At 41.9% G+C, this 15,813-nt stretch overlaps 1 protein-coding gene and 1 pseudogene across 6 annotated transcripts in view; one reads left to right on the top strand and one right to left on the bottom strand.

Annotated features, from left to right (window-relative positions):
- SINHCAF (SIN3-HDAC complex associated factor) overlaps positions 1 to 15,813 on the top strand; it is a 45,567-nt gene that overhangs the window by 9,402 nt on the left and 20,352 nt on the right. For 2 of the 6 annotated variants that reach the window (NM_001135811.2, XM_047429272.1), the window contains one exon: positions 11,626 to 11,767. The exons of 3 other annotated variants lie outside the window; for them this stretch is intronic. The gene's annotated coding sequence lies outside the window, so the exon portion shown is untranslated. The remainder of the gene's footprint in view (positions 1 to 11,625; positions 11,768 to 15,813) is intronic. One more of the 6 variants, NM_021238.3, reaches the window with a different exon arrangement.
- On the bottom strand, positions 12,935 to 13,032 carry LOC124903109 (uncharacterized; annotated as a pseudogene).

Genomic DNA, 15,813 nt, shown 5'->3' with positions numbered 1-15,813 from the left:
GAACAAGTATTTAGTATTGCTGAGATTTATAAGAGATAATCTTTAATCTTATTTATCAGAAAACTTTTCTTAAATAGCGTCTTTAATATAAACTATCGCTGTGAAACTCTTTTTCTTTCCTATGTATATTATTATATTCAGTAAACTTATGTGTTTAATTAGATGTAAAATTAGACGTTATTCTTGATCTTTGGCTTCCCAATTTCATTAGATGGGATTAGAATTGTCCCTTTTGTGTCTTTGATATATTGTGGTTATCTCATCCCTTTCTTGACTCATCAGCACCAAGGTTAGATTCATTAAGTTAGATTCATTAAGATCATTAAATTTATATGAAACCCACAGCTTTAAAGTAGAAGAAAACCCTACAAATCAGCCAAAACAGATGTTTAGAATTGATTGTTGTGTTTTAAAACTTTATTTTTTTGTTTATATATATTGTCCATATAATTAGTTATCTTTTTAAATTGCTTTTGCTGACTTAGCTATTACCTTTAATCTTTTTTAACTTTGGGATATTCAGTTTATTTGGTCAGAGCTATAATTATGGCATGGTTTTTTTTTTATTTTTTATTTTTGAGATGAATTTTTGCTCTTGTCCCCAAGGCTGGAGTGCAGTGGCACAATCTCGGCTCACTGCATACTCTGCCTCCCGGGTTCAAGCAATTCTGCTGCCTCAGCCTCCTGAGTAGCTGAGATTTACAGGCGTCTGCCACTACTACGCCTGGCAAATTTTTTTATATTTAGTAGAGACAGGGTTGCGTCATGTTGGTCAGGCTGGTCTCAAACTCCTGACCTCAGGTGATCCACCCACCTTGGCATCCCAAAGTGCTGGGATTATAGGCTTGAGCCACCACGCCCGGCCATGGTTGATTGTTTTTAACTGTTACAGTATTAAAACAATTTTTGGGTTTTTGGCTAATAGTAGTCAAAGAAAGAATGCCAGTGAAAGTGCTTTATAAAATGTAAAGTGCTATACAAATGACAACTTAAAATTTAAGCAACACATTTATTACACCTGTGAAAGCAAATAAAAGAAAAAACTGATCAACACAGTCCTCCTCTAAATTTCTTTCTGGCCCAGGAATGTGTGTATATTGCAAAAACAGCTATGTCAGAGATAAGCGTTACAAACTCCCATAAATAGGCATGTTTTAACTGTAACCTTTCAAATCCTGAGGAACTTCTCAAAATGTTTGTCCTATTTGAAGAAACTTCAGACAGCATACTGTAGACAGATAGATGATGATAGATGGTGTCAGAAGAAAAGATAAAACTGGTCCAAGATGGCTGCAGTTTGGACATATGCATAATTAAACCACTGCCTACAAACTAAAGCTGACCCCTTGGGTTTGTAACTGGAGTTTGTTAAATATTTTACTGACAGATACTGGTTGTAAACTTGTTTATCAGATACAGAACAAAGGCAGGATGGAATCAATCATCCTTCCACCAGACCCTAAGGTGCCTACACAATTATTAACTTTTCTCTTCTACCCACTCAACCACATATTTACTTGACTTTAGGCATAACATCACTGAATATGAACCAAATTCTCAACTATTGCTTCACCATACCGCACATATTTTCCTGTTTAAAAAATATATAAAGACTGTGCCTCATGCAGTCTACTTCAGAGCACAGGTAATAAGCTACTGGAACTTGTGCTTCCTGGGTGCGCATCCTCAAGCTTTGTGTTTGCAAGCAGCACATTCAGATTCAGAACACCTCCTGACTTAGTCAATCTAATGAGAAGGTATTAAAAATTATGGAGAACAAATCCTCTAAATCGACTAAATCCCCTGCAACTGCAGAACATCTGATTCCACCTTTAGAAACCCCAGCTGGGTTAATATACAGTACTTGGGGTGCCTCATTGTGTAATTACTTAAACAAATGGACCAGGATGACTGAAGAATGACTCCACATCACAATGGCCTAAATGCAGATCCTTTGATATATGCAGACCAGGATGGAAGGTGCTAGTGCAAAAATTAAGCAACCAGAATGGGGAAACTACTTCCAGTGGTATCTTGAAAGTAGCAAAAGTGGGTAGGATGATCTTTCTTCCTTATAGAATGCTGATAAACAACTTAGAGGTGTTAACAGATAGCTCTCAAATATACTCTCCTATTAAAAAAAAAAAATCTTCAGAAGTACCTCTCTTTGGGCCTCCTTCACCACCTACACCTTCACTCTATCTTCATCTTTCTTTTTTTTTTGAGACGGAGTCTCGCTCTGTTGCCCAGGCTGGAGTGCAATGGCGCGATCTCGGCTCACTGCAAACTCCGCCTCCCGGGTTCGCGCCATTCTTCTGCCTCAGCCTTCAGAGTGGCTGGGATTACAGGCGCCCGCCACCACGCCCGGCTATTTTTTTTTGTATTTTTAGTAGAGACAGGGTTTCACCGTGTTAGGCAGGATGGTCTCAATCTTGTGACCTCGTGATCCGCCCGCCTCGCCTCCTAAACTGCTGGGATTACAGGCGTGAGCCACTGTGCCCTGCCACTCTATCTTCATCTTTCTAACTCTCCAGGCTGGATCTGATTTTTCTTCTTCTGCCATCTCTTTCTCCTTGTCTGCCACTTGTTAGACTGTGACAGGAAACACGGCTCCAAAGGCCCCTGCTCTTGTTGTCCTTCCACCTACCCTGGCAGCAACCTCTTGTTCAGAAGTGACGGACAGGAACTCCACAGGAATGCTTCCTGTGGTTGCCTCATTCTGGGAACAGCCTATGATAGGTGGGGGATTCCTAATTCTCTTTCTCTTTTTTTTAAGGGATTAAAACATTTAATTGGCCGGGCGTGGTGGCTCACGCCTGTAATCCCAGCACTTTGGGAGGCTGAGGAGGGTGGATCATCTGAGGTCAGGAGTTCGAGACCAGCCTAGCCTGGTCATTATGGTGAAACCCCATCTCTACTAAAAATACAAAAAATTAGCCGGGCGAGGTGGTGGGCACCTGTAATCCCAGCTACTTGGGAGGCTGAGGCAGGAGAATCGCTTGAACCCAGGAGGTGGAGGTTGCAGTGAGCCGAGATCGTGCCATTGCACTCCAGCCTGGGCAACAAGAGCGAAACTCCGTCTCAGAAAAAACAAACAAACAAACAAAAAAACATTTAATTACACATATACACCCAGATATTACACATATTCAGTGCATTCAGAATCCCAGCAGGATGTTTGTGGAAATTAACAACTTATTCTGAAATTGTTTTGATAATGAATAGGGCCAAGAATAGCCAAGATAATCTTAAAGAATAAAGTTGAAAGACTTATCAGGTATGACTTATAAAGCTGTAGTAATTAAGATAGTATTAGTGGATAATATACAATTATATGAAAAGAATAGAGCATTCAGATACAGCCCCATATTGAATTTATGACAGCAGTACCACTGCAGTGCAATAAAGAAAAGAGTGATCTTGGCTGCATGGGGTGGCTCACACCTGTAATCCCAGCACTTCGGGAGGCCGAGGCAGGTGGATCACCTGAGGTCAGGAGTTCGAGACCAGCCTGGCCAATATGGTGAAACCGTCTCTACTAAAAATACAAAAAAAAAATAGCTGGGCGTGGTGGCGGGTACCTGTAATCTCAGCTACTTGGGAGGCTGAGGCAGGAGAATCGCCTGAACCCAGGAGGTGGAGGTTGCAGTGAGCCGAGATCGTGCCATTGCACTCCAGCCTGGGCAACGAGAGCAAAACTGCGTCTCAAAAAAAAAGAAAAGAGTGATCTTTTCATTAAATGGTGCTGGGTGATCTACATATCCATGGGGAAGAGGGCCAGGGAAGAATCTTTGACCCTTACCTTTAATGCCATGTAAAAATATCACAAATTCTAGAACAATTAAAATCTAAATTTGAAAGGAAAACAAACTTCTGGAAGATAATAATGGAGATTATTTTCCCGACCTGGAGGAAAGCAAAGATTTCTTAATCAGGACGCAAAAAGAGCTAGCTACAAAAGAAAATGCTGATAATTTGTACTACATTAAAATTAGGAACTTAAGTTCCTCAAGACTCAGTTAAATGAGTAACAGTGAACAGAGTAAAGACATCTATGAAACATATAACCACCACAGGTCTTGTATCCAGAAGATAAGCACATGACTGAAGAGGATACCTAAATGGCCAATAAGTTCTAGGACCCATTTGGAATCAGGGAAATGCTTATCAAAACCACACTGAGATACCACTGAAATAACAAATGACTGATACCAAGTGTTGGCAAATATCTGAAATAAATGGAGCCTTCATACAATGATGGTATGAGTGTTAACTGGTACCATCATTTTAGGAAACAGTTTAGCAAGATCTACTGAAGGTAAATTTACACATTTTCTATGACCCAGCAGTTCTATTCCTAGAAATACACACACTCACACACACACACACACAAAATACGTAAAACAATGTTGAAAACACATTACTTGTAGTAGCCAAAACTGAAAATGTCCCAAAATGTCTATCGACCCTAGAATGGATATGCTGTCACACAACGGAATTCTATACAGTGAAGAAAAATAAAAAATACAGCATGGATAAATCTCACAAATGTTGAACAAAAGAAGCCAGACTGAAAGAGTACATTCTGTATAGTTCCAATTAAGTTTAAAAACAGGAAAAACCAATTGATGGTGATAAATGTCAGTTGTTACCATTGGGACCAGGGAACAGTGACTGGGATGACACCTGTAGACTGCTGGTACCATCCTCTTTCTGATCAAAAGTTACTTCTCCTTTGCCAGCTTTGTCAAACAGCTAGCTGAAAGGCTACCATAAACAAAGTATCAGGGGCACCCAGGACCAATCAAAAGGCCACACATTCTTGAAAAGATACTAGTCATTAAAATGGAAATAGCTGGTGGATGCCACCTTCATCAAGTGATCAAACTTAGCATCATCAACGCTGGGACAACATTCCTCCCATCTTTGGTCTGACCCACCACCCCACTTAAAAGTTCCACAGTCTTTGGGTTAGGCTGGCTTTCTCCAGAAATGTTCAAGTATGGAGTGATAAAGTCACTGGGAGACATGAAAAATTCACCATTTTTCTCAATGCTTGCATACTTCAAAAATATTGTTATAAGCTCAGTTGGATCTGCTCTCTCAGTTAAAGCCACCTTGGCAGCCGCCATGCTTGGCCCTGGGTCCAGGGGGCTGCGGGACCCACTCACTGGCTTGCTCATGCTCGGTCCCAGTGGTTCACTTCCAGTACCAGCAGCGTGTGTGCCCGGCCTGCCTGGAGTCCTGATTCTCTATCAACCCTAGTCGAAGGCCAAATTATGGGCCATAGTTAAGGAATTTCCTGACCCTTATGAAGATCGGATTTGCTTTACCAAAGAATTTGAACTCACAATTAAAATCTATGACCCAGGTCATTCTGACATTTATCGGCTTGTCTACATGCTGGTTTCAGCTGCTTAAGCTAAGGAATAGCTAGAAAAAGCACAGTGTGGTTGGATCCCCTAACAGATCTTGTTCCTGAAAATCCAGTATGACCTCTGCCACAGCCAACTCCCCAGCTTTCAGAAGATGGCTCAAAGACGCGTGGGTATGAGCAGCTTCTCTGTTAAATGCCATTCCCTTGTTTTTTTCAAAAGATCATAGATTACGGCCGGACACTTTGGGAGGCCAAGGCGGGTGGATCATGAGGTCAGGAGTTCGAGGCCAGCCTGGCCAACTGGTGAAACCCCATCTCTACTAAAAATACAAAAATCAGCCAGTCGTGGTGGCACACACCTGTAATCTTAGTTCCTCAGGAGGCTGAGGCAGGAGAATTGCTTGAACCTCAGAGGCGGAGGTTGCAATGAGCGGAGATTGTACCACTGCACTCCAGCCTGGCGACAGAGTGAGACTCTCTCAGGAAAAAAAAAAAAAAAAAGATCGTAGATTAGATTAAAATCCAGCGATGCTGCCAGAATCCAGATGGGCCTGTTGTAGATTTTTTTACCCACTTTGATAAAACATGAAAACAATATTGCAGATGTCAATGGACAACTTTGAAAACAATAAAAATGACATATTATTAAAATTTCCCAAACAATTTGGGTGATGCACTACCCACTCTTGTCAAATGTCACATGACTGACTAGGTGATGGCCAGAACTAATGACTGGTCAACTGGCTGACCAGTTGTCCTGCACAATGATGAAAAAGGAAAATCAAAAGGCTGTACACTTAACAATGGTAACACTTAACCTCTTAAAACTCCCAGGCTAGGAAGTCTTGGTCCTAAGAACTCTTCTCCCCTTGTCTGTCACTACTACAAGAAACTAGGCATTTTAAAAGGAATTGCAGGACATTGAAATGGAAACAGGATGATAAACTGGAAAACTAGGACTCCTCTGAGGAAATAGGGGGTTTTCATTTCTCCCAATATGCTGCTTTAACTCACTCTTTGGGAGAAATTAACACAATAGTAGGCACAGGAGCTCCTGTATCAGTTATAAATTCCACCTTACTTGAAAACCCCATTTCTCAGAGGAATGAAAAAGTTAACATGGTGGGTATACCTAATAAACCCATCCCTTGCTTTAAGTTCACATCTTTGCTTTAGTGGTTCATTGGGTTTGGCTTCCTCCCAAGGGCTGTGAATGTGATACCCTTAGCCAATCCCATGTTTTCCTGATATGCCCAGAAGTACCTGTTTAACCTTCTGGATTGAAATTTCCACGACATCCATAATGCTCATCTCTTTTTCCTTAAAGTGGGAAATGTTGCTGGAACTGAAATCATGGGATTGGGGAAAGCAAACCAAAAAATGCCCTCATAATATATCACAAGTTGGCCGGGCACGGTGGCTCACGCTTGTAATCCCAGCACTTTGGTAGGCTGAGGCAGGTGGATCACCTGAGCTCGGGAGGTTGAGACCAGCCTGACCAACATGGAAAAACCCCATCTCTACTAAGAAAATACAAAATTAGCCGAGCGTGGTGGTGCATTCCTGTGATCCCAGCTACTCCGGAGGCTTAGGCAGGAGAATTGCTTGAACCTGGGAGGCGGAGGTTGCGGTGAGCCGAGATCACACCATTGCACTCCAGCCTGGGCGACAGAGTGAGACTCCGTCTCAAAAAAAAAAAAAAAAAAATCACAAGTTGATGTTAGTGGTGTAAAGACACCTTCATGTGATTGGGAAAATGAGAAAACAAAATGAAATATAATAAAGGGAAGGAAACCATAAGGCTCCTTTTAAACTTCAACTTTTCTACTAATGCCAGAAGCTAAGCTTTTACTTGAAACTATTTCTTACCTGCTGTGGTCCCAGTCTAACATAGGCATAGGAAAGATACTCTCAGCTACTCCAATAAAGGTTGAGATTAACACTAAGAATCCCTTGCTTAACGTAAAATAATAGCCACTATGGCAAGAAGCCATAGATGGAGTTGCCCCAATCATGAGATTATCTTGAGAGAGGTTTTATTATTCCCTGCATCAGTCCCTGCAACACCCCCATTTTCCTTGTCAAGGAACCAAATGGGAAGGGGATGGAGATTTGTACAAAACTTACGGGCTGTAGACAGTATTATAATACCTAGATATCCAGTGCTTCTTAACCTTCATACACCTGTCTGCCATACCAAATATCAAGGATGATAGTGTTCTTTTTTTTTTTTTTTTTTTTTTTGAGACAGAATCTCACTCTGTCACCTAGGCTGGAGTACAGTGGCACAATCTCAGCTCACTGCAGCCTCCACCTCCTGGGATCAAGTGATTCTCCTGCCTCAGCCTGCCAGGTAGCTAGGATTACAGATGTGTACCACCACACCTGGCTTATTTTTGTATTTTTAGTAGAGACGGGGTTTCATGATGTTGGCCAGGCTGGTCTCGAACTCCTGACCTCAAGTGATCCACCCGCCTCAGCCTCCCAAAGTGCTGGGATTATAGGTGTGAGCCACTGTGCCTGTCCCTGACGATATTTTTCAGTTGCGGATCTCTGTAGTGCCTTTTTAAAGCATCCCTATACATCTAGGTAGTCAGTATTTGTTTGCCTTTTCCTGGAGAGAATGACGGTATACTTGGACTGTGATGTCACAGGGATATACAGCGCCCCACTTACTTTTCCCAAATACTGAAATATGAATTTAGCAGACTCGGACTTCTCTCAGGGGATCCTCATCCCTCATCCAGTGTATGCATACCTCCTCCTTTGCTCTGACACACTTTCTTCCTCTGAAGAAGAAAACTTGTACTTACTTCAACAATTGACCATTACATTAAGGGTAAACTTTAATTTTGTCTTTCTCAAGTCAAACATGTGGCACATGTTATGTCAGCCAAAGGATTGAGCATCAATCCTGATAGAATCAAAGGAATCTTAGCTTTTTTGATGCTTCCTACTAAAAAATAGCTTAGAGGGTTCTTGGAGTTGGCCTGCTGTTGTGGAAGCTGGATACTAAATTTTTATTGTGTGACTCAACCCTTTTGTACCTGTTTAAAGAATGACCAGCCTGATCCCATCATGTGGACTCGTGAGGGACAGCCAGCTGTGCAACAAATTAAAGAAAGATTAGTAGGCCAGGCGCGGTGGTTCACGCCTGTAATCCCAGCACTTTGAGAAGCTGAGGTGGGCAGATACTTGTGGCTAGGCGTTCAAGACCAGCACGGGCAACATGGTGAAACCGTGTCTCTACTAAAAATACAAAAATTAGCCAGATGTGGTGGCAAAATGCCTGTAGTCCCAGTTACATGGGAGGCTGAGGCAGGAGAATCGCTTGAACTTGGGAGGCAGAGGTTGCAGTGAGCCGACTGCATTCCAGCCTAAGTGACAGAGCAAGAGTCTGTTGTTGTTGTTTTTTTTTAAAAGGTTAATAAATGCCCCAGCAATAAGACACCCAAACTATGAACTTTCTCTCTTTCTGTTCATGAAGATGGGGGGAACACATTTGGTATGTTGACTCAGACCTATAGGCTATTATAGTCAGCAGTTAGATCCAATGACTCGAGGATGGCCCCCTTGTATGAGGGCAATATCAGCTATAGCCCTTCTATATAAAACTGTTGGAGAGATAGTCATGGGGTCCTCTCCCTTACTGCCTTCATTCCGTATTCAGTTGAGCTACTTCTGAATTCCCATCATAACTCAACACTTGTCTTTCAATAGATTAACTTCCTATTAGGTCTTAATTTTATTATCCTCTAATGTTACCATCTCGTTGCAGTAATCCTAACCTTGCCACTCTCTCTCTCTCTCTCTTTTTTAGACAGGGTCTTGCTCTGTCACCCAGGCTGGACTGCAGTGGTGTGTTCACAGCTCACTGCTGCCTTGACCTCCTGGGCTCAGTTAATCTGCCTGCCTCAGCCTCCCGAGTAGCTGGGACTACAGGCTTGCACCACTGCACCTGGCTAATTTTTATATTTTTTGTAGAGACAGGGCTTACCATGTTGCCCAGGCTGGTCTCAAACTCCTGGGCTCAAGCGGTCTGCCCACCTTGAGTGGCACTTGTGGATCTCTAGTGCCTTTTTAAGCATCCCTATACATCCAGGTAGTTAGTATTTGTTTGCCTCTACCTGGAGAGAATGACGGTATACTTGGACTGTGATGTTACAGGGATATACAGTGCCCCACTTACTTTTCCCAAATACTGAAATATGAATTTAGCAGACCACAAAGTGCTAGGATTATAGGCATGAGCCACTGCACCAGGCCTGGCCAGTCTTCTGATAAGACCTCTCATTACTTCATCCTGATGACACACCCAACTTTTTACCCCAAGGACAGACCTACAAGAATCACCACTAGATAATGCTAAGACAGAATGGTTTACAGATGTATCTTACTTGAGGGGAGAAGGTGGTAAGGTTAAAGCAGGATGTGCCATGGTCATTGAAGCTGGTCTTCTTCAGGCTAAGTCAGCCCAACTGGCTGAACTGATTGCCCTGACTCAAACTTGTTAACTAGCAAAGAATAAAGTAGCAAAAATTATGCCCCTATGCATCTGATGGTGCTCATGACTTTGGAATGCTATGGAAAGAGAGAGGGTATTTAACCTTCTCAGGGCAACCCGTAAAAAAATGGACTAGTCTTGGATCTCGCTTTTGGCAATTATAAAGGTTCCAGGCTGCTCTGAATTAAACACAACACAGAGTCAAGGTAATCACTTTGCTGATGCAGTAGCTAAGAGTGCTGCATTTGAGACACCAGTCCGATCCTTGGAATGACTGTGAGACTTAAACAGTTAAATCTACGCTAAAGGAAACCCAAGACTTAGCTTTCATCGAAGAAAGATCTACCTGGAAACAAAAGGGGGGGGTACTTTTCCCGCAAACTGAACTATGGTATGGACCTAATGATAAACCCATTATCCTAGTGGGGTATCAGATACCCCTCATGGAACACATTTACAGCTTGACCCATTGGAATTCAGATAAAATGATATCCTATTATAAACAATATTATTGGAGACTGTCATCATGGCACAGAAGATTGATTTACAGTGTACCATCTACCCAAAACACAATCCTGGAAAACCCCTTTATGGGGCTCAGGATCATTTTCTTTTTCTACCTAGACCTTTTGAGATGTGGCAGCTTGATTTTATCTAGCTGCCACCATCTTAAGCATATAAATATGTATTGGTAATGATATGCATGTTTTTGCATTGGGTAATGCAATTGCCCATCCTGCTGATGGGCAATGGTAGTGGGTAAAATCTTATTAAGGGATTACCCCATTATGGGGAGTCCCCTTTTGAACTTCACAGCAATAGGGGAACTTATTTTACTGCCCAGGTCATTGAGCATTTGTAAAATTTGGGGCTGGGCGCAGTGGCTCATGCCTGTAATCCCAGCACTTGGGAGGCCGAGGCGGGCGGATCACCTGAGGTCAGGAGTTTAAGACCAGCCTGGCTAACATGGTGAAATCCTGTCTCCACTAACAATACAAAAATTAGCCGGGCATCGTGGCGCACGCCTGTAGTCCCAGCTACTCAGGAGGCTGAGGCAGGAGAATCGCTTAAACCTGGCAGGCGGAGGTTGCAGTAAGCCAAAATCATGCCACTGCACTCCAGCCTAGGTGACAGAGCGAGACTTAGTCTCAAAAAAAAAAAAAAAAAAAAATTGGCCTATATTTCCGTATTTTGATTGTGCCTACCACCCTTAGTTCCTCTGGATTGGTAGAATGGAACAATGGAATAATAACACAATTGGCTAAGTCCCCGGATTGGTAGAATGGACCAATGGAATAATAAAAACACAACTGGCTAAATTTATGGAGGCTTTTCACCTCTGCTAGGCTGAAGGCACTCCCCTTGGTATTGCTCAACCTTTGATCCATCCCTTTATCAGCTCTCTTCTCATGAAATTGTAACTGGAAGACCCAGGCACATGGGAATCAAGATGACTGATACAAATTTACTGAATGGGGACATCTTGCACTGTTGTAAGGGACTTGTTCACCAGCTCATGAAAAGCCAGACCTTAGTGCAAGACACGTCCCACAGTGCGCTCCTGGGAGATGAAGATTCTGGTCATGACCTCCAACCTGGAAATTTTGTCTGTTGGAAAAGACATCTCATAAAGGACTCCCTCCAGCCTTGGTGGAGGGGCCCTTACCAGGTATCGTTGACTAATCCATGCACAGCAGAGTTAAAGGTTGTAGACTCACGGATCCATATCTCTCACCTTAAAAAGGCACAACTTCCTGAATGGACCATGACTCCCACCAAAGATCCCTGTCTCTGATTCACCAAACAGCTTCAACCCTGAAACCAGGACGAGAAGTTGACAACATCTGAGTGGACAGCTAATTGACCTAAGACTTCAGACCAGGCCTGTATGATCTCCTGTCTAAACATTCTTAGAGTATTATATTTACTTTGGGGACTATTGGCCTTGTCTGCTTTGACTCAGATTATAGGATATATAACCTGGTTAATGTTTCTGTACACATGATGGCCACCTATGTATATACACTTGACTTTTCAGGGTCTCTGCTGGGGATGGAAAAATAGTTCATTAGCCAAACTCTCCTAAAGTGTGGCAGATGGAGGCAGTCTCTCAGATTGCTGGATTTGTCACCAGCTTCCAAGGGCCATTCAAGATCATTACATGCTACTTGTTGCACCAGAGATTGATTTTTCTGACACTCCAAATGTTACCATATACTTACATCAGTTCCCTCCAAATGTCACTTTCCAAATTCAAATTCAGCTTCTAAAGCCAGGCCATATTTTCATTCTGTGCTTAGTAATAAGCCCTAAGTCTCACCCTTCCCCACCGCCCCCAGGTCTATCTATCAGTAAGCCAATTAGGGACAAATTCTCTAACTTATCTAGAACACAAACTTAATTCCTCATCTTTTCCAGGTCCCTGCACATTCCTGGCCTCCCACCGTTACTGTCATAACTGGCAACTGAATGTCCAAAGGAGAAAAAGCAAAGCAGATTGTGCCAGCACGTCTCATTTGTTATATATCATGCTTATGCAGGCCTTTGTAAGGCCTGCAGTAAAACCAATCCATGGCTCACTCATGTTTTAAACAACTTACCTATTCAAACTATTATGAATGAATAGTTAAGAGATACATTTTGGTATGTGGCATTGGGCCACACCCACCAACTCAAGGATGGGCACATAGTGTAAATAGCTGGCAAAATAGCTGGCAAATTGAAGGGCGCTTTTTTTTTTTTTTTTTTGAGGGAGAGTCTTGCTCTTTCGCCTAGGTTGTAGTGTGGTGGTGTGATCATGGCTCACTACAGCCTTGACCTCCCTGGGCTCAGGTGATCCTCCTACCTCAGCCTCCCGAGTAGCTGGGACAAGGAGTCTGTGCAGTAGCTCACAGTGCCTGTTGCACTTACATCGACACCTCGGGTGAAGTAGAGACTTGCACAGAAAGAATTTCCAAGCAAGCTAAATGGTTACAAGAGGCACAAACTACTGATCTTCTCAATGATCTATTTAATTGGCTTCCTATTTCTTCCAGTCTGCAGTTCAACCCCTTTTTCATGGGTAAAGTGCCGACGTCATAACAAGGTTTGAGGGAGGCACATCTCACACGTGTGAATGCCCAGTCATCACACTTACAAATGACAAAAGGATCTCAAACCTTGATATAGTCTCTATCCTACTTCTCTTACTATCACTTAAATTACTCATGGTATTTATAACCAACTTACGTAAGTCTATTGCTAAAACCAGAATTATAGGTCAGGTGCAGTGGCTCACACTCAATCCTAGCACTTGGGAGGCCAAGGTGGGAAGACTGCTTGAGGCTAGGAGTTTGAGACCAGTGTGGGCAATGCAGTGAAACCCTATCTTGATAAAAAAAAAAAATTAACACCCTCCCCGCCCATTATGGTAGCACAATGTAGATAGAATTATCCTGTAAGCGTAGCAGCAGATTCTACTACATACCCCTGGAGTGTCCACCTCAGGCCTACATCAACCTCATCTCACCTCTTTCCCTCCAACGTGGGACATGACTTCCTGGGAATGAGCCTTCCCAATGCAGAAGGACAAAAGGACATGAAGTATGATCATTTGTGTTCTCTAAAGAGAAATTTTGATCAAAAGGGGGAAAATGTGGAAATACAAGGAAAAATGGGTTGACACAGCCTCTTCTAAATATTTGTTCTGGCTGAAGAATGTGTACGTGCAAAGGCAGCTATGTCAGTTAGATCAGTGTTAGAACCTCCCATAAATAGGCATGTTTTAACTGTAACCCCTCAAATCTTGAAAAACATCTTGAAATGATTTTTTTTTTCTATTTCAGGGACCTTAAGAAAACATATTGTAGATAGACAGATAGATGATTGATGATAGTGTCAGAAGAAAAGAGAAAAGTGAGCCAAGATGGCTGCAGTTTGGACATATGGGTAATAAAACCATGGCCTATTAACTAAGGCTGACCCTTTGTGCATTTGTAACTGGAGTTTGTTAAATATTTTACTAACAGGTACTGGTTGTAAACTTGTGTATCAGATATAGAACAAAGGCAGGATGGAATCAATCATCCTTCCGCCAGACCCTGAGATGCCTACACAATTATTAATCCTTCTCTCCTACCCGCTCAGCCACATACTTACTTTACCTTATGTGTAACATCACTGAATACCAGTCAAATCGACAAGAGTGTAATTGTTGCTTCACTGTACTGCAGGTATCCCCCTGTTTAAAAAAATGTATGAATACCGTGCCTCGTGTAATCTGCTTTGAAACACAGGTTATAACCTGTTGGAACCTGTGCTTCCTGGGCGCACATCCTCAAGCTCGGCCTGATAAACTTTGTTTGATTGAGATTCCCATCTTGGTCTCTCAATTTGGGTTGACACAGCTAGTATGAGACTGGCATCCGAGATGATGAGTTTACAAAGATGATAAAGACAAGTGAATTCCTAACTCAGTTATTTTTATTTTTAAATATCTCAAAAACAGGCTTACTGAGATCTTTCACGTACCATAAAATTCACTCATTTATATACCATAAGATTCACTCTTGTAATGTGTACAATTCAGTGGCTTTTAGTATACTCAGAATTTTGCAACCATACCACTATTTAATTTTAGAAGACGAATGACAGTTCATAATCAGTATTTTAAGTTTTTCTTGATTTTTGGCTTTATCTCACAGCTTAATTTTCCTCTTCTTTCCCCAAACACATGGTTAAGGATGAGATTGTATGGGGTCTGTTCTCAGCTGTAACTATTAATCAATTAGAAAGCAGATAGTATTACCTTTCTTCCTTTAAAACATAGTGCTGAGTGATATGATGCCTATGAGAATAGAGGCAAAATTCACAGATAGTTTCATAGCTGATGGTGTCATTTGAACAAATAAGATAGATTGTACTGGAGGAATCATTTAATATTGCACAAATTTGGTACTAGGAAAGCAGTATTCTAAAGAACCACCAGATTGCTTGAAAAAACAAATCTCCAGTTTAAAATCAAGTTATGCCACGCCCACCCAGTACTTTGTTAAATATATAAAGTAACTTGGTTTCAGAGACCATTTTATGTCCTTGGTTTTGCTCTAGGGATTAAGTAGTGTTTTTTTTTTGTTGTTTTTTTAAACATTTCATGGGTTTGTAGATTTTTGGAAATAATTTCAGTTAATCTCAGGGCTTCCCAAACCTTGAAATGGTTAAACACCAACCACTGCTTAACTTGGTTGTTGTAAACAAAGCCCGAAATGAAACCCCTGTGTATTTGCTGCAGATTCCCAGGTGCCTCTTAAGTGTGAGGATAAGCTCAGAAAAGGCTTAATAGGTTTATTAAGTTGTCATCCATTAAAAGGTTCACATGCTCCTTGTGTGTTGCATAAGGACAGGTGTCTGCCACCTCATTGCATTTCTCACTGAGCATTGCCTAGGAGAGGGTAAGCCCTAGGATTTAGATCCCTCTCAGATGTTCAGGCAGAATAATTTTGTCAGGACAAAAGTAAGGTCACGGAACTATATGAAAATGGATTATGAATCCTAAGACATCAGCCTATTCTCCCCTATGTCTAAGAAGAATATTCCTCAGCTTATGACTGGAATGTCTTGCTAGGGGTGCTGGGTAAGTTTTGTGGAGGTCCCCACCAGCAGAAAAAAATCATTGAAGAGGAACACTTAATTCACAATGGCTGCTGATTAAAAAGAAAGCCTCAATATTCACCTATAACCCTAACATCCTTAACAGCTTAGCAGTGTGGTAACTGGCACAAACTATGGCGTCTTGGTCAAATCCAACCTCAGTGAAGGTAGTTCACATCCTAGAGATGAGCTGAATGCTGATAGCTTTGAGGACTTGTTTATTTGGGGGAAGGGAAAGAGATGGTGAGGGTAGAGATAGGAATCTGTCTGTCGTAATAGGATTTGGTCTGTGTATTAATGGAAT

The sequence above is a fragment of the Homo sapiens genome, chromosome 12 (assembly GCF_000001405.40).
Source record: "Homo sapiens chromosome 12, GRCh38.p14 Primary Assembly".
NCBI lineage: Eukaryota > Metazoa > Chordata > Mammalia > Primates > Hominidae > Homo > Homo sapiens.
This window is presented reverse-complemented; position numbering and strand designations above follow the sequence as displayed.